This window comes from Homo sapiens, chromosome 6 (genome assembly GCF_000001405.40).
Source record: "Homo sapiens chromosome 6, GRCh38.p14 Primary Assembly".
In the NCBI taxonomy this organism is placed as follows: Eukaryota; Metazoa; Chordata; class Mammalia; order Primates; family Hominidae; genus Homo; species Homo sapiens.
The window spans coordinates 149,961,614-149,979,076 of NC_000006.12; the positions used below are offsets into that span (position 1 = coordinate 149,961,614).

The 17,463-nt window shown below is 50.9% G+C and overlaps 1 protein-coding gene and 1 pseudogene across 4 annotated transcripts, besides 2 other annotated features; both read left to right on the forward strand.

Annotated features, from left to right (window-relative positions):
• Window positions 1–2,329: 2,329 nt before the first annotated feature.
• ULBP1 (UL16 binding protein 1) lies at window positions 2,330–12,102 on the forward strand. 4 transcript variants are annotated; one of them, NR_133659.2, is made up of 5 exons: window positions 2,330–3,869; window positions 6,994–7,257; window positions 7,472–7,747; window positions 8,403–8,534; window positions 9,756–12,102. NR_133659.2 is itself a non-coding variant. In NM_025218.4 (5 exons), exons 1-4 carry the CDS (start codon window positions 2,437–2,439, stop codon window positions 8,510–8,512), a joined length of 735 nt encoding a protein of 244 aa, NP_079494.1. In that variant the 5' UTR covers window positions 2,330–2,436; the 3' UTR covers window positions 8,513–8,534; window positions 9,756–12,102. The 4 variants fall into 4 exon arrangements, 3 of the variants coding, with proteins under 3 accessions (NP_079494.1, XP_016866811.1, NP_001304018.1); NM_025218.4 differs by having other exon boundaries at window positions 2,330–2,521; XM_017011322.2 differs by lacking the exon at window positions 8,403–8,534 and having other exon boundaries at window positions 2,330–2,521.
• Window positions 2,666–3,205: an enhancer, noted in NCBI's record as "H3K4me1 hESC enhancer chr6:150285415-150285954 (GRCh37/hg19 assembly coordinates)". NCBI's record gives its function as "activates a minimal SCP1, AML or CMV promoter by ChIP-STARR-seq in primed H9 embryonic stem cells {active_cell/tissue: H9 hESC(primed)}" and the evidence as "EXISTENCE:reporter gene assay evidence [ECO:0000049][PMID:30033119]".
• Window positions 3,747–4,286: an enhancer, noted in NCBI's record as "H3K4me1 hESC enhancer chr6:150286496-150287035 (GRCh37/hg19 assembly coordinates)". NCBI's record gives its function as "activates a minimal SCP1, AML or CMV promoter by ChIP-STARR-seq in primed H9 embryonic stem cells {active_cell/tissue: H9 hESC(primed)}" and the evidence as "EXISTENCE:reporter gene assay evidence [ECO:0000049][PMID:30033119]".
• Window positions 16,213–17,076, forward strand: BTF3P10 (basic transcription factor 3 pseudogene 10; annotated as a pseudogene).

Consider the following 17,463-nt stretch of genomic DNA (forward strand, 5'->3'; position numbering starts at 1 on the left):
ATGGTGAGACCTGTCTCTACTAAAATTGCAAAAATTAGTTGGGCACAGTGGCAGGCCCTGTAATCCTAGCTACTTGGGAGGCTGAGTTAAAAGAATCGCTTCAACCCTGGAGGAGGCGGTTGCACTGAACTGAGATCATCCCACTTCACTCCAGCCTGGGCAACAGAGTAAGACTCAGTCTCAAGAAAAAAAAAAAAAAAGACAAAAAAAGTATTACCAACTTGTGCCAGCCATGAGGTCTACAACCTCGATGCTGCCACCCTCAGGACCCTGGGGGTTACAACCTCCACTCCAGCTCCCCTCTGAACCTGTGCTTTTCCTCTGAGCCCCATTCACTCCCACAACTGTCTCATTCATTCACTGGTTCACTCAGCCTCCAACCACCCTTAAATCATGTCAGGCTCACCAGCTGACGGAGAGAAAAATCATCCTTTGTAGGTCTGAAAAACGTGTCTGAATCCTGATGGTGGGTCTTGTTTTCATTTCCACCCCCTCACAGCACACTCAGGGCCATGAAGAGGCCATGGCCTGGGCTCAGAGCTCCAGCTCTCCTCAGGGTGGGCCTGGCATTTGCTGACTTCAGGGAGGGTGGCAGGGCTCACAACTGAAATAGGAGACCTGCCCTGGGTCCTTAGCATGTGCAAGGATAGGGTTCTTTGTAGAATCTGCTCATTTCATCTGTGTTCATAGCATCTGTCATTTTCCACATGCGGACATCCACACCCAGAAAGCTGAAGAAGCTTGCACAGGAATATTCAGCCACAATATGAGCTGACTTCCATATCTGAATGCATGATCTCTAGATCCCGGCCATTACAATAACCTTTGGGCCACTTCTATGCCCATCCTGGGCAGGCCTGAGTCTAGTGGCCGGATGCCTGCAGCAGGGGTGAGGCAGGAGGGCCCAGGTGTGCACACAGGCCCCTCCTCCTGTCACCTGGCTGTCCTGCTTGGGGCTCTCCTGCCAGCCTCCTTCTGCCTTCCTCCTGTTCCCGCAGTCACTGGCCCAGGTCACCCGGCCTCAGGGGTGGTGCTGCCAGGGACTTCCCAGTGGCCTCCTCCTAGGACTAACCTGAGCTCCTGCCCCCAGCCCTGTACATGGGAGGCTTTTCTCACACACAGATCCCTGGGCCCACCAAGCTATTCCCCTCCCAAATCTGAGAACTGCCCACCCCCGTGTGACTGTTGTCCTGCCGACCACCCTTCATGTAGCCCCTCCTGGACAGAGGCTCTAGTGCATCAGGCCAGAACCTTTTGGCTCCTGTGTCCCTGCTCAGTCACAGAGATGGCTGCCATCCCATGTCCCTGTCCTGAAGCATAGTCAGGCCCTGGGCTTGGTCCAGGCCTCCTCCCCTTTCCCACAGCCTCAGGACCCTGGTGATTGATGGTCACCAGGTGAAGGTCTCCCCACATGAAGACTGTGTGGAGTGGGAGGTCTGTGCCTATTTTTCTCATTCATTGGGGAATGGGCTGAGTGGCTGGGGGCAAAGTGGGACTCAGGGGCTCTGCCCAGTCCTTACTGCAGGCTAAGCCCTCCCTTGCGGCCAAGAGCCACTGGGCCCTCCACCTCCCTCTGGCTTCTACCCGCAGATCTAGATGGTTTCATGGTGACTCAGAGGAGGATGCACTCGGGCGTCCCTTTTGAGGATGGCTGCAGGGACCATCCAGGGACTGAGCCGAGGTGCAGATACAGCCACGGATTTGGGTGTTGTTAGACACAGAAGGGTGTGTAGCAAAGTGAGCCCCACGCATGCGTAGACTCTTCCCTCGGCTTCTGCTCTCCATGGAAACACAACTGATCACATCATGATTGATCACGGTAGCCCTCTAGGGCTTTCTTTCTTTTCTTTTTTTTTTTTTCCAGAAGTCATAAAGGGATATAGAATATACTCAAAGACCACCTCATGCTTTTAGTGGAGAGGCAAAAAAGGTTCGCTCCGGAATGGGGAAGCGGCTGCGCCCTGGACGGAGAGGGGCGGGGACTTCGCGACTGCAGGCGGAGGGAGGGCGGGTGTCGCTGGCGCAGGCGGTGACAGGGAGACACCGCCGCCACTGAGTATTCCTATGCAAGTTTCTTCATCTTCCTGTGCATCAGTGTTTACACTGGGGTAATGATAAATGCTGTGTTGAAAAATTATTTGATGGGGCCATGGAAGGAACGGAAGGAACGGCGTCCTGGCCCGCTCGGGGCCCGCGCACGCCGCCACCAAGCCGCGGGGGCGGGTCGGAGGGGAGAGTTGCGTCAGCCAGGCCGCTGTCAGATGACGAGCCCGGGGCGTGACGGGGTGGAGCATCCCCAAAAAAGTGCATGCCTAGGATCCCGCCCAGTGTATCCCTGCGCGCGGCGGGCCGGGCTGGGCAGCTTTATAAACAGCCGTGGTGTGAGCCTCGAAGGGAACCATCAGCGCCTCCTGTCCACGGAGCTCCAGGTCTACAATGGCAGCGGCCGCCAGCCCCGCGTTCCTTCTGTGCCTCCCGCTTCTGCACCTGCTGTCTGGCTGGTCCCGGGCAGGATGGGTCGGTGAGTTCGGGGATGTAGCCTAAGCAGGGCGGGGGCCAAACCTGGGAGGTTGTGGACTGCAGCGGGTTTCAGAGGAGGGGAGGCTTCTGGAAGGACCGGCGCGATCTCCCTGAACGAACATCGCGGTCTCCCCGAACGTCGCGGTCCCTCCGAACGTCGCGGTCTCCCCGAACATCGCGGTGCCCCCGAACATCGCTGTCTCCCCGAACATCGCGATCTCCCCGAACATCGTGATCTCCCCAGACATGCCCAGCTGAAGGCACTCAGTTCCCCTCGGTGGCTCCTTTCCGCCGGGTCCGCTTCCTGCGGCTGCTGCTTGCCCCTCAGGCCAGGAGGTTTCTGGAAGGACCGGTGCTGTCTCCCCGAACATCGTGGTCTCCCCGAACATCGCGGCCTCTCCGAACATCGCCCTCTCTCCGAGCAACGCGATCTCCCCGAACATCGCGGTCTCCCCGAAAATCGCGATCTCCCCGAACATTGCCATCTCACCGAACATCGCGATCTCGCCGAACATGCCCGGCTGAAGGCACTCAGTTCCCCTCCGCGGCTCCTTTCCGCCGGGTCTGATTCCTGCGGCTGCTGCTTGCCCCGCAGGCCAGGAGGCTTCTGGTAGCACCGGCGCGATGCCCCCGAACATCGCGTTCTACCCCAACATCGCGATCCCTCCGAACATCGTGATCCCCCCCGAACATCGCCGTCCCCCCGAGTAACGCGGTCTCCCCGAACATCGCGGTCCCCCCGAACATCGCGGTACCCCCGAACATCGCCGTCTCCCCGTACATTGCGATCCCCCGAAACATTGCGATCTCCCCGAACATCGCGATCTCGCCGAACATGCCCGGCTGAAGGCACTCAGTTCCCCTCCGCGGCTCCTTTCCTCCGGGTCCGCTTCCTGCGGCTGCTGCTTGCCCCATAGGCCAGGAGGCTTCTGGGTGGACCAGCGCGATCTCCCCGAATATCGCGGTCTACCCGAACATCGCGGCCTCCCCGAACATCGCGGTCTCCCCGAACATCGCGATCCCCCAGAACATCGCGGCCTCCCCGAACATCGCGGTCTCCCCGAACATCGCGATCCCCCAGAACATCGCGGTCTACCCGAACATCGCGGCCTCCCCGAACATCGCGGTCTCCCCGAACATCGCGATCCCCCAGAACATCGCGGTCTCCCCGAACATCGCTGTCTCCCCGAACGTGCCTGGCTGAAGGCACTCAGTTCCCCTCCGGGGCTCCTTTCCGCCGAGTCCGCTTCCTGCAGCTGCTGCTAGCACCGCAGTCCAGGGGGAGTGTCAAAGAAGGCTGAAAAGGAATTGCAGGAGGGTGGAGGGACCAAAAGGCTACAGAGGGCAAGGTAGGGCGGGGATCCCTGGTGCAGACCCGCAGCCCCACTGGCCCTAGGGAAGGAGAAACCAGATTCCCGAACCCTAGCTGGGGTCAGGACAGGGGTAAAGGGGAGTTCCACAGGGACGCGATCACAGACTCCCCCATCAGCCACAGCCCTGCTCTGCTCTGACCTGCTGTTCACCACACAAAGCTTCCAGCAGCCCCAGGGCTCCCTGCCCTGGAACTTCGCCCCTACACTTTGCTGCAGACACTCACCTGCACGCAGGGGCTCACCAGACACTTGCTACCCTTCCCCTCACCATTCACTTTCACCACCCAGGTCGCATCCTTTCACTCCCCATCTCAGCTCACCCCTGTCACCACACAGGCCTCCCTCACCTCCCCATCCATGAAGGGGCCCTTAGCACCTCCCCCGACCAACTAGCACCTTGTCCCCTTTTGCCTGAGGACACACCCCAGCAAACACACCCCAGGCTTTCCACAAAACTTAATGCAGGGGGGACGGGAAATCCCATTTCCCTCACGATGACCCTGGGAGCGCCGGTGAGTAGAGGTGCCCACTTCTGCCCTTGGGTCCCAGACCCGCCTGTTCTTCCGACTGGGGAGCCAGGGTCATATAGAATAGTCACTAAGCAGACAGGAGTCAGCAAACCCTTTCTAGAAAGGAAAGGCTGAAGGCACTTTGGTCCTTGCTGGCCGTGAGTTCTCTGTCTGTGTGTCAAGTCCTGTCCCTTTGTAGAGCAACAGCAGGCAATGGTAACCTGCAAATAAAAGGGAGAGCAGATGTGGACCCTGTCCTAGGTTGCTGACCCCAGATGAGGGCACATGCTGTGTCCTGGCAATTGCTGCCCCATCCCCTAGGGTGTCATCTCCAAGTAGTGTAAGTTGAAGAGTCACAAGTGTGTCCTACCCTGCCTGTGGCTTCTGGGTGGTGTGGATGTGATGGATGTGAATGGAGGTCCTATGGTTCTGGGCCTACTGCGCCCCTCCTTTGCTGCTGGGTGGCATCATAGGTCCCTCAGGGCAATCAGGGACCCTCCTTAAAGCCTCAGGTGTGAGCTAAGGGTGAGGGGGTGCAGCCATGTAGTGTCCTGGGGATCGGGGCCAACTGCTTGTGCAGCTTCTTGGTTCCCTGTGGCCCTGCTCCTGCCCATCCCAGGAGACCCACCTGTGTCTTCTCACTGTGGGGCCTATATTCCTAATGACCTAAAGGGTGAGGAGCCCACCCTGTGATGGGCAGCTCTGAGGCTGTGTGGTCACTGCCCTCCCATAGCTGGAGGCCCATCTCCACAGGGGCCCAGGACCACAGCAGGAGCCACTTTTAAATGAGGGGATTTCACTGCTGTGAGTGGCACAGCCTTGCTTCTGAGCACTAGGGGATCCTGTTGTGATTCTGCGGTTGGCAATTGCCATGAAATCCACATAGCACCTTTTCCAACCACATATGCCTCTGGGATCTTAGGGAGTCCAGGGTCAAATAGCTGTATTGGTAGGTCCAGCGTCACCCCTCATCACAGGGTGTGTATGGCTGCATCCCAGCTACAAGAGCAGAGTTAAGTAGTGACAGGGGAGGTCATATGACCAGCACAACCTATAATAGTTACTACATTAACTACAAACACTATCCATTCCCGGTAGAAATCCAGGAAATGTGAAATTACCATCGAATGGGTCTATGAACCCAGCCCATCCCTCTAAGCTGGACCTGACAGAGGTGTCCATCTGTTACTTTGCCCTAAATGCACCTCATGAGTAATAGGGGAGCAAGTTAATGCTTTAGGTCCCTGGGAGGAGGTTGGATCACACACTGTGTCTACTAGGAGTGTCTGGGTATTTGCCATTTCATGGCATACAGTTACCAGAGTGAATGCCCATCTGGCTCTCTGGGGGAGGCTGAGGGAGTCATTGCAGTTGCTGTGGGGTTGAAGGAGCCCACCAGGGCCTCTGGGCTCTCCTTCTAGCAATGGACTCTGGGTCTGAGATGTGGCTCAGTTCTCAAAGCTGGGCAAAGGAGCTCAGTTATTTCCTAGGGTGACTCCTTTCAGCCTTCAGGTCATCCATCCTTGCGTTTTGTCTTTGTTTGTTGTAATTATTTATATCTAGCAGTATCCGGGTTGAGTTTCCATTTCTTTTGGATCCTTGACCCCTTTGTTCTATGAGCCATGGGCATACATTTTTAAGGCTGAGGTCCCCCACTGGCATTGTGACTTCTTTAATTATTTACATCATTGCACCCTCCTTCCTGCTGACAGTTGACGGCCTCCGCTTGAGATCTCTTATTTCAGGATTTTCCATCCCCATTACTACTGGGAGCCCATTTCAGGAACAGCATTTCCTACCCCCAACCCCGGCCTTCAGCAACAGGCATTCCTGGGCTTCTTGATAGTCTGCTGCCTTCTCCTGGGGCCTTCTTTATATGCTGGGTATACAAGAGTCCTCCAGTCATCCCATGAGCACAGAGGATGGACGTTGTTCTGGATTTTCATATTGCAACCACTCTGGCATGGGTGCTTCTCTGAGCCTTTTGATTCTTTCCCTTACACCCTGATGTAGAAGTTCTGGGTTTTCAACTTCTTGCCCTGTGAACCATCCCTTTACAAGGTTCCAGAAATGCATGCTCATAGCAGATGGGCATCTTCACTGGGGCTTTGCCAACGTGTTAAATCATGTGACCCATGACAATAATCACTTGCTTATCTAAACTGAATTCTGCCCTCACCCCACCCACTGTGCTGGAGCATCCCAGGGCAGCTCCCACACACTCTCCCACCTCCTGCAGTCCACATGGGCTGCTGCTGAGGGTCCTCCTCATCCAGGCCTTTTCCTGCCACAATAGGCCTGGCACCTCCACCACAAGGTCATGTGCTGACTGATGTCGGCACAGAGCAGGTGGGACATGTCTGGAGGGGACATGTGGTTTCATGGCTGCAGGAACCTTCCCCTCCGTGTACTCAAGCAAGGGAGACGCTCTAGTCATTAACTAGTTTTCATGACAGTCCTGGCTGGGGCATGTCTTGGTCTGCCAGCCCAGCCCCTCAGAGGCCTTCACTTGCAGTCACCATAAGTGGGAGGAGGGGATACAGGTTCCATTTCCCCCCACACCAACCCCCTCCTGTGTTTTTCTTCCACAGACACACACTGTCTTTGCTATGACTTCATCATCACTCCTAAGTCCAGACCTGAACCACAGTGGTGTGAAGTTCAAGGCCTGGTGGATGAAAGGCCTTTTCTTCACTATGACTGTGTTAACCACAAGGCCAAAGCCTTTGCTTCTCTGGGGAAGAAAGTCAATGTCACAAAAACCTGGGAAGAACAAACTGAAACACTAAGAGACGTGGTGGATTTCCTTAAAGGGCAACTGCTTGACATTCAAGTGGAGAATTTAATACCCATTGGTAAGTTTAAAATGGCCCAGGGAGCAGACACAGTAGTAACTTAGAGTCATTTATTGATTTCATATGAAAAATAAATCAGAAGTTTGTGTCACCCAAGAGGTTGAGGAGCATGGGCCGGATGCAGCAGAGAGAGCAAGTCCAGGAGCCAGGAAAGGAAGCAGGGTGGGGCTCAGGCTTTGTCAAGATCAGAGCTGATCTCTTTGCAATGGGGCAGAGCCCCTCACCCTGCAGGCCAGGATGTCTTGTGAGCATGAAGCCCATGGACACGGCAGAGGATCTTGGCAGTTCCTCTTCAATGGACAGAAGTTCCTCCTCTTTGACTCAAACAACAGAAAGTGGACAGCACTTCATCCTGGAGCCAAGAAGATGACAGAGAAGTGGGAGAAGAACAGGGATGTGACCATGTTCTTCCAGAAGATTTCACTGGGGGATTGTAAGATGTGGCTTGAAGAATTTTTGATGTACTGGGAACAAATGCTGGATCCAACAAGTAAGTGAGAGGGGGATAAATGGAAGCTGTCTCGAGTTCAGATCTTATCAGCTGGTGTATGTGTGTGAGTGCGTGTGTGTGTGTGTTTGAGTGAGTATGAACATGACCCCCTCATGGGGGGCTCCTCCTGGGGGTCCTGGCATGCCTGTGCTCTCTCATCCTCCTCTCCCTTCTTCCCCCTGACTCCTCTTCCTCACTGCACCTGCTTCTGCTCTACCCACCGCATTTCTCACCAGCCTCAAATCTGTGGGTGTCATAGTGTTTCCACATCTTTTTCATTAGTGTTCCTTCCTCCTAGAATCACCTTTTCTTTCCTCTCCCCTCATCGGTTTCTGTAAATCCATCAAAATCACCTCCAATGCCAGGGCCTGAGGCCCTCCCCTCCCTGGCCCTGGGACATCACCTCCTCTTTCTCCACAGCAGGAGGGTGGACTGTGCTGTCACCTCGCTTCCCTTAGCAGATGTGTGAGCTCCCTGAGGGCAGGGGACACCCCCTCTCCCTTCTTACCCCAAGACTTGTCCCAGAGGTTGCCCCACAGCAGAGGGGGACAAAAGGTCTGCCTTCCAGGATGACCTGGGGTGGCAGGAGCTGAGGAGACATCCCCTAAGATTTTGAGCCTGGACAAGGGTTGTCACTCCTGTGTTTCCATTTCAGAACCACCCTCTCTGGCCCCAGGCACAACCCAACCCAAGGCCATGGCCACCACCCTCAGTCCCTGGAGCCTTCTCATCATCTTCCTCTGCTTCATTCTAGCTGGCAGATGAGGAGAGTTGTTTAGAGTGACAGGTACTGTGGGCAATATTGGGAGGGGAGCAAGAGGCAGATGGGTGAGATGGGAGGATGTGGAAGGAGAATTCCCAGAGTCCCAGAGGCCGGGAACTTCTCATCCTGACATTAGACAGATGAATGAGACCTGCTGTCACCTGTTGGCAATGACCTGGGCAGCTCAACCTTGAGTTCTGATGGATTCTAACTGTCAGAGGCCAGAGGGAAAGGGAGGGACCCATACCAAGGCTCAAGGCCTGTTGAGCTTGAGAGGGTTTAACCAATTCAGGCCTGTTTCAGAGCAGGTTCCTATTCGGGATGGTGTGTGGCCTGCAGGCAGCAGAAACTCAGGCATGGGCAGTCTGCACAGTAGGAGAGGAGTAGCATGGCCACTTCACCAAGGATGTCAAGGGAAGGGGTGTCCCTGGAGGAGGCTAAGAAGAGAGTGATCTGGGAGAATCCCAGGACGAGGGAGCTGTGAGGGTCTTGGCCCACCCAGTTCCAAAGGCTGCATTCCCAGAGAAAGCAGCTCGGGTCCCAGCAGTTAAGGTGGAAGGTGAAGAGTAGAGCGTGTCCAGGGTGAGATTTAGGAAAAGGCCAGGCCCCTTGGACCCATGGGAGTCCTTGCCAGGCCCTGGGGCGATGCCCCTGCCATTCTGCCTCCTTCATACTCCAGATCCTGAGCCAGCTGATGGCCCTGCCTGGAGCAGAGTGGACTCAGGCAGGGGAGCTGAGCTGCTGCTGGAGTTCCATGCTCACCACTGAACTTGGCCAGGAATGAATGGGGCAGGGCAAGGACAGTCCCATTCAGAGCTATGGGTGCAGCTCCCAGGGTGAGGAAAGGCTGAGAGTGAAGGGAAAAGAAGGTGGTTTGTCTACAAGCCCACCCAAGGCCAGGGAACGTGGATAGAAAGAGCTCTCTTTGGACAGGGTTCCCCCAGGTCCTCTAGACCCTTCTATGAGAGGGAGGAGCAGGCCCTCAGTGAGGGTGCAGACCCCTCATTACCAGCCTCAGTTGTGAGCCCCCCTGGGCTGTAACAGGACCTGGGCTGGCTCTGTGGTGTGGTGAAGGAGGGTGGAGGTTGGAACAGGGTACAGAGCCAGGGGTAGTGTTGGAGGGAAAAGCATGTTTCTTATTTGTGGGAGAGGTTCCGAAATGGGGAGGGCCTGGGAAGGATCACCCAGGAGAACAGACCCAGGTTTTTCTCAGCCACTTAAACCAATGCTTCATCTTTTCTCAAGGTGGAAAGTGATATCAAGAAGCCTCTGTTAGCCTGGTCTGGGTCCTGCTCTCCCTTCAGGGAGGCCGCCTGTCTACTCACCACTGTGCCTTTCTGGAAAGCAGGAGTTCAAGCCTTAGCAAGCCCAGAGGCCCCCAGCAGACGATGAGGACATTGTCGGCTCAACATCTCAGGCCACTCATTACCTTCGCTCATGATCCCAGCAGCCATTTTTCTTAACACCTTCTGCCACTTTCTGTCGGTGCTAATGGATGGAACTCCTGCACAAGTTTTAACTGAACAAGAAATCCCAGCAAAAGGCATTTTTTTTTCTACTTCTTTGATTGTAGAAAAGCAGACACTTCTCTGAAACATGACCTTATTCTTCCAAACAGTATCGCTAGTAAAATAGCATGCTGGACTTCAGACCTCAGGGATCCTTTTGATGCACTGACCAGGAATTGTGATAATCCTTTTCATTTTTATGGCTTTTTACAGTTTCTCATTCTGTCAACCATATTGAAGTGAAGTGGCATAGTCTTCACTCACTGTAATCTCCAGCTCCTGGGCTCAAGTGATCCTCTAGACTCAGCCTCTAGAATAGCTGGGACTACAGGCACATGCCACCAGGACTGGCAAACTGTTTTATTTTTAGGTAGAGGTAGGGTCTTCCTATGTTGCCCAGGATGGTCTTCAAATCTTGGTCTCGAGCAATGCTACCACCTTGGCCTCCCAATGCTCTGGGATTACAGACATGAACCACAGTGCCTGTTGTAGAAATTTTTAATTATTTAATATGAAAATATTACATTCATGATTATTTTATTTAGTAAATAAAATAATAGAGAGCCCAGAAATCAACCTGCACACCTACCGCCATCTAATCTTCAATAGAAATGGGCAATGTGGGAAAGACTCCCTATTCGAAAATTAGTGCTGGAATATCTGGCCAACCATATGCAGAAGAATGAAACTGAACCCCTACTTCTCCCCATATATGTAAAATAATTCAATATGGATGAAAGATTTAAATATAAGTACTAAAACTGTAAAAATCCTGGAATATAACCTAAGAAATACCAATGTGGACATAGGGCCTGGCAAAGATTTCATGAAGAAGACACTAAAAACAATTGCAACAAAAACAGAAATTGACAAATGGGGCCTCATTAAACTAAAGAGCTTCTGCACAGAAAAAGAAACTAGCAACACAGTAAACAGACAGCCTGTAGAATGGGGAAAACTATTTGCAAACTCTGCATCTGATGAAGGTCCAATATCCAGAATCTACAAGGAACTTAAACAATTCAACAAGCAAGAAGAAAAAACCCAATTAAAATTGGGCAAAGGCATGAACAGACACTTTTCAAAAGAAGACCTACAATTGGCCAACAAACATGAAAAAATGCTCAGTATCACTAATCATCAGATAAGTGCAAATCAAAACTGCAATGAGTTACCATCTCTTACCAGTCACAAAGTCAGAGATGGTGGTGAGGCTGCAGAGCAAAAGAAACAGACACTGTTGGTGGGAAAGCAAACTTGTTCAGCCACTATGGAAAGCAGTTTGGAGATTTCTCCAAGAACTTAAAATAGAACTACCATTCAATCCCGCAATCCCACTACTCGGGATATACCCACAGGAAAAGAATTCATTTTATCAAAAAGACACCTGCACCAATATGTTCATTACAGTGCTATTCTCACCAGCAAGGACAGAGAATCAATCTAAGTGCCCAACAACAGTAAATTCAATGAAAAAAAATGTGGTACATAGATACGATGGAAAACTATGCAGCCATGAAACACAAGAAAATCATGTCCTTTTCAGCAACATGGATGCAACTAGAGGCTATTATCCTAAGCAACCTAATGCAAGAACAGAAAACCACATACTGCATCTTCCCATTGGAAAGTGGCAGCTAAACATTAAATTCGCATGAACCACAGATGCTGGAGATCACCAGACCGGGGAGAGAAGAGGGGCACCTGGGCTGAAAAACACACCTGTTGGGTATCATGCTTACTGTCTGGGCGATGGGATCATTGGGACACCAAGCCTCAGCTTCTCAAATTCTACCCATGTAACAAACCTGTATATGTACCTTGTATTATATAGGTTGAAATTAAAGATGAATAAATAAAATAAAATGACACAAGGCCAAAAACAAATGGGTTTAACTGACCAGAGCGAGAGAACTCTGCACTATGAACCCAAACCCAGCTCAAAAAGATAAAATCTAGTCATTTAAGATAATCATAAGTTGTATGATGATAATTGTATAAAAATTTGTATGATGATAATTGTATAATAATTATACATGAAAGTGCCAAAACCCTACAATTAAACACTGTATAATGGAATTACAGATGAGTTCCATCTTGTTCTTTATGCCCTCACTTTTTTTTCCATTTTCAAGTGACATTTTTGTTTATCCTCAGGAAATCCTTGCTGTCAGCCTTCTCCTTCTGCACCCACCACCTCCTTTTCCACTGTCCACCTCAGGCCTTCCTCTGGTCTGGGACTGTGGCTTCCTTGGCACTGAAGGCCCAAGAGTTGCATTCAGCTTTGGGAGAGAGGAGGATGCAGGGCAGGTTGTGGAGGTGGTCTTGGCATTGCAGAGGAACCTAACAGCTCGAGTACTCTATCTCAGACAACTGCGTTTCTCCACCAGGTTAGCTACAACCAAGCCAACCTTGCCCTTTTCCTCGTTTTTTTCCTAATACTTCCGAACTCGTACTTGAAAATTTATATTCTTCCTCCTAACAGTTCTTTCTACTTCTTGTCCGCACAATATATCCTGATTTATTATGCCCAGAAAACACTGGACTCACCATGTCCATGACAGCTACAAGGCCACAGCTACAAGTCTCCACTTGCTGAAGGGGCACCAGGGGCTTGGAGCCCTTCAAAAGCCCCTGCCCCAGAGAACTCTATTTGGCCTATCTGGGACTCACTGGAAAAGCCCCATTCATTGGGTTTGTCATTGTTTGACCTGCTGAGGTCTCTTTCTAGGGAAAAGCCAGATCCTCAGAGCATTGGCTAAAAGCAGTCTTTGCAACCATACAACTCCACCGTTTGTATGTGGGGCAAACAAGAGGCTAGTGGGGGAAATTGAGAGAAAGATTTGGGGAATGAGATGTGCATAGAGGCTGGCACGTGCCCAGGAAGCACCTGAGAAGGCCACATCTCTGATCTTTGGCTGACCTGGAGGTTCTGTGCAGGCAGGAAGTGGAGCTGCAGTGGTGACATCAGCTGCCCGCCTGAGTGCAGCAGGGGCAGGAGTGCACCACACACACAAAACCCTCCGCACTGGGGAGAGACTCGCCGGCTCAAGGCATTGATGCAAACCTCTATCCAACCTCACCTAACTGAGCAGAGACTTCAGGGTCCACCTGTGACAGGGAATACAGATGTTATAAGATCCATCCAGGAAAGTCACTAAACAAGCAGCAGTAACACACCTTGAAGAGAGGGGACATCTGATTCCCAGAGCTGTCACATTGTATTCTTGTAAACATTCCGTTTCATCTCAAAAAACCACAAGAGGTGCAAAGAAGCAGGGAAGGATCCCCAGACACGAACAAGAAACTAGTCCCTGGAACTGTCCCCAAGAAAGCCCAGCCATTGGTCTTAGTGAGTTACTCACTGTCACTCTGAGGCAATGGCAGTCAAGGGGAGACTGTGTGGAGGAGGCTGTTCAGCTTCCTCATTTCCATGGAGACAGGACTCAGCAGAGGTGGCGCTAGAGACTGAATGTCTATGTGCCCCTAAACATAGTGCCTAATGTGTACTAGGAGAGGGAGGCTTTGATAGGTTATTAGGGTATGAGAGAAAAGCCCTCAAGAATGGGGCTGGATGGCCAGGTGTGGTGGCTCATGCCTGTAATCCCAACACTTTGGGAGGCTGAGGGGGGTGGACCACTTGAGGTCAGGAGTTCGAGACCAGCCTGGCCAACATGGTGAAACCCCATTTCTGCTAAAAATACAAAAATTAGCTGTGCATAGTGGCAGGTGCCTGTAATCCCACCTACTCGGGAGGCTGAGACAGGAGAATTGCTTGAACCTGGGAGACAGAGGTTGAAGTGAGCCAAGACCACACCATTGTACTCCAGCCTGGGCAACAAGAGTGAAACTTTGTCAAGAAAAGAAGGAAGGAAGGAGGGAAGGAATGAAGGAAGGAAAGTAGGAAGAAAGGAAGGAAGGAAGGAAGGAAGGAAAGTAGGAAGAAAGGAAGGAAGGAAGAAAAGGAAAGAAGGTAGGAAGGAAAGGGAAGGAAAGGAAGGAAGGAAGAAAAGAAGGAATGAAGGTAGGAAGGAAAGGGAAGGAAAGGAAGGAAGGAAGAAGGAAGGAAGGAAAAAGGAAAAAGGAAGGAAGGGAAAGAAAGAAAAAAAACATGGAAGTAAATCTTTGTGCCTTGGGGTTTGGCTAAGACTGCTAAAGTAGTGTATGCTAAGGCAATATTGACAAAAGAAAAATAGTTTCATTTGACTTATTCTAAAGGTAAAACTTCTTTGCTTCAAAAAGAATGTCATTTAGAAAGTGAAAAGACAACTTACAGCATGGAAAAAATATGTGCAAATTACATATCTGGTAAGGGACTGGTATCCCAAATATATAAAGCACTCTTTACAACTCAATATTGTAAAGAGAAATAATGCAATATAAATATGTGGAAAGTTTTTGAATGATCATTTCTCCAGAGAAGTATACATTGGTCACTAAGCCCATGAAAAGAGGCTCAACATCAATAGCCATTACGGAAATGCAAATCACAGCCACAAGAAGATGCCACCTCACACCTAGTAGGATGGCTGTCATCATAATCACAGTGAAGACAGGGAGAGACTGGATCCTTCACCCCTGCCAGAGGCAGAGCGCAGGGAGTTGGGGTTGGGGTGGAGTGTGGATGAGAGTGTGGTCTGTGGGACTGTGATGGTGAATATTAGGTGTCCAGTGGATTGGATAAGGGATGCCTAGATGGCTGGTAATGTACTCTTTCTGGGTGTGTCTGTCAGGGTGTTGCCAGAGGAGACTGACGTTTGAGTCGGGGGATGGGGAGAGGAAGACCCCTATCAGTGTGGGTGGGCACCATACCATGGGTTGCCAGCTGGGCTAGATGAGAGCAGGTGAGAGAGGGTGGGGTGACTCTGTTGGCGGAGCTCTCTGGCTTCTCTCTGCCTTCCCTGCGGGTTCTTGCTTCCTTCCTCCTTGGACATCAGACTGCAGGTTGTTTGGCCTTCCCTCCTCCTGACAGGTGACAGCCTCTACCTGGGATCAGTTATTTCAGATCATTACTCCTGGGAGTCATTTAGGGAACAGCATTTCCTACTCCCAACCCTGGCCTTCAGTAACAGGTATCCCTGAGCTTCTTGACAGTCTGCTGCCTTCTCCCAGAGCCTTCTTTATATGCTGGGTAAACAAGAGTCCTCCAGGCTTCCCATGAGCATAGAGGACGGACATTGTTCTGGATTTTCACACTGACACCCCTCTGGCATGGGCACTTCTCTGAGCCTGTGATCCCTTCCTCTACGCCCTACCTTAGAAGTTCTAGATTTTCTACTTCTAGCCTTGTGAACCATCCCTCTTCCAAGGTTTCAGGAATGCATCTCATAGCAGATGGGCAGCATCACCAGGGGCTTTGCCAATGTGTTAAATCCTGTGACTATGACAATAATCTCTTTATGATACAAATTGGATTCTGTCCTCACCCCACCCACTGTGCTGGAGCATCCTAGGGCAGCCCCCACACCCTCTCCCACCTCCTGCAGTCCCCAGGGGCTGCTGAGGAAGATCCTCCTCATCCAGGCCTTTTCCTGCCACAGCAGGCCTGGCTGCTGACATGACAAGGTCATGTGCTGACCGATGTGGGCAGAGCCCAGGTGGGATATGTTTTGGGAGGACATGTGGTTTCATGGCTGCAGGGACCTTCCTCGCCTTGTACTCTAGCAAAGGAGACACTCTAGTCTTTAACTAGTTGACATGACAGTCCTAGCTGGGGCACGTCTTGCTCTGCCAGCCCAGCCCCTCAAAGGCCTTCACTTGCAGTCACCATAAGGGGGAGGAGGGGTCTCAGGTTCCACTCCCAGCCACACCATCCCCCTCCTGTGTTTTTCTTCCATACACACACACTGCCTTTGCTATGACTTCATCGTCACTCCTAAGTTCAGACCTGAACCACGATGGTGTGAAGTTCAAGATCAGGTGGATAAAAGGCCTTTTCTTCACTATGACTGTGTTAGCCATAAGGCCAAAGCCTTTGCTTCTCTGGGGAAGAAAGTCAATGTCACAAAAGCCTGGGAAGAACAGACTGAAACACTAAGAGACATGGTGGATTTCCTCAAAGAGCAACTGCCTGACGTTCGAGTGGAGAATTGAATATCCAGTGGTAAGTTTAAAATGGCCCAGGACAGGAGGGAGCAGACACTATAATAGCTTAGAAACCTTTAATGTGTTCATGCAACAAATAAATCAGGTGGGCATCCCAGCTTGTGTGTGCCTAATCTCAGTTGGTCCACCTGAGACAACCTGAACACCAACCCTAGTCTCCCATGCGGCCCCTTATCCACTCCGACAAGATGAAAGAAACAATCACGAACCAGGAAAAACTTGCCAAACTGCAGGCACAAGTGTGCATTGGTGGGAAAGGACCTGCTTGCAGAAAGAAGAAGGTGGTTCATAGAACAGCCACAGCAGAAGATAAAAACTTTCAGTTCTCCTTAAAGAAGTTAGGGGTAAACAATATCTCTGGTATTGAAGAGGTGAATATGTTTACAAACCAAGGAACAGTGATCCACTTTAACAACCCTGAAGTTCAGACATCTCTGGCAGGGAACACTTTCACCATTACAGGCCATGCTAAGACAAAGCAGCTGACAGAAATGCTACCCAGCATCTTAATCCAGCTTGGTGTAGACAGTCTGGCTAGTTTAAGGAGACTGGCTGAAGCTCTGCCCAAACAATCTGTGGATGGAACAGCACCATTTGCAACTGGAGAGGATGATGATGATGAAGTTCCAGATCTTGTGGAGAATTTTTATGAGGCTTTCAAGGATGAGGCAAACTGAATTGAGTCAACTTCTGAAGATAAAACTTGAATAAGTTACTAGGAACTGCTATTTTATATTATGACTGCTTTTTAAGAAATGTTTGTTTATGGATGTGATAAAATCTAGGTGTCTAATACTTTTGAGCCCAAGCCTCTTGGACACTGAGCTCTTTTCAGTTTTTGCATATACACAATTTATTCTTTGCAGCTAATTAAGCCAAAGAAGCCTGAGAATAAAGTTTGAAACAAAGGTTAATAATGTTCTTAGCCTAGTTAAAAAAATAATTAATTAATTAAAAATAAACAAATAAATCAGGTTTATATCACTTGAGAGGTCAAGGAGCAAGGGCAGCAGACAGGAAAGGAAGCAGGGTGGGGCTCACAATTTGTCAAGATCAGAGCTGATCTCTTTCCAAAGGGGCAGAGCCTCTCACCCTGCAGGCCAGGATGTCTTGTGAGCACAAAGCCCATGGACACAGCAGAGGATCTTGGCAGTTTCTCTTCAATGGACAGAGGTTCCTCCTCTTTGACCCAAACAACAGAAAGTAGACAGTGCTTCATCCTGGAGTCAAGAAGATGAAAGAGAAGTGGGAGAAGAACAGGGATGTGGCCATGTTCTTCCAGAAGATTTCACTGGGAGACGGAAACTTGGCTTGAGGAATTCTTGATACACTGGGAAAAA

Coding starts and splice junctions, on each gene's coding strand:
- ULBP1 (NM_025218.4), top strand. CDS start 2,437: ATGGCAGCGGCCGCCAGCCCCGCGTTCCTTCTGTGCCTCCCGCTTCTG. Junction 7,258..7,471: donor GGAGAATTTAATACCCATTG/GTAAGTTTAAAA, acceptor GCAATGGGGCAG/AGCCCCTCACCCTGCAGGCC. Junction 7,748..8,402: donor ACAAATGCTGGATCCAACAA/GTAAGTGAGAGG, acceptor TTTCCATTTCAG/AACCACCCTCTCTGGCCCCA.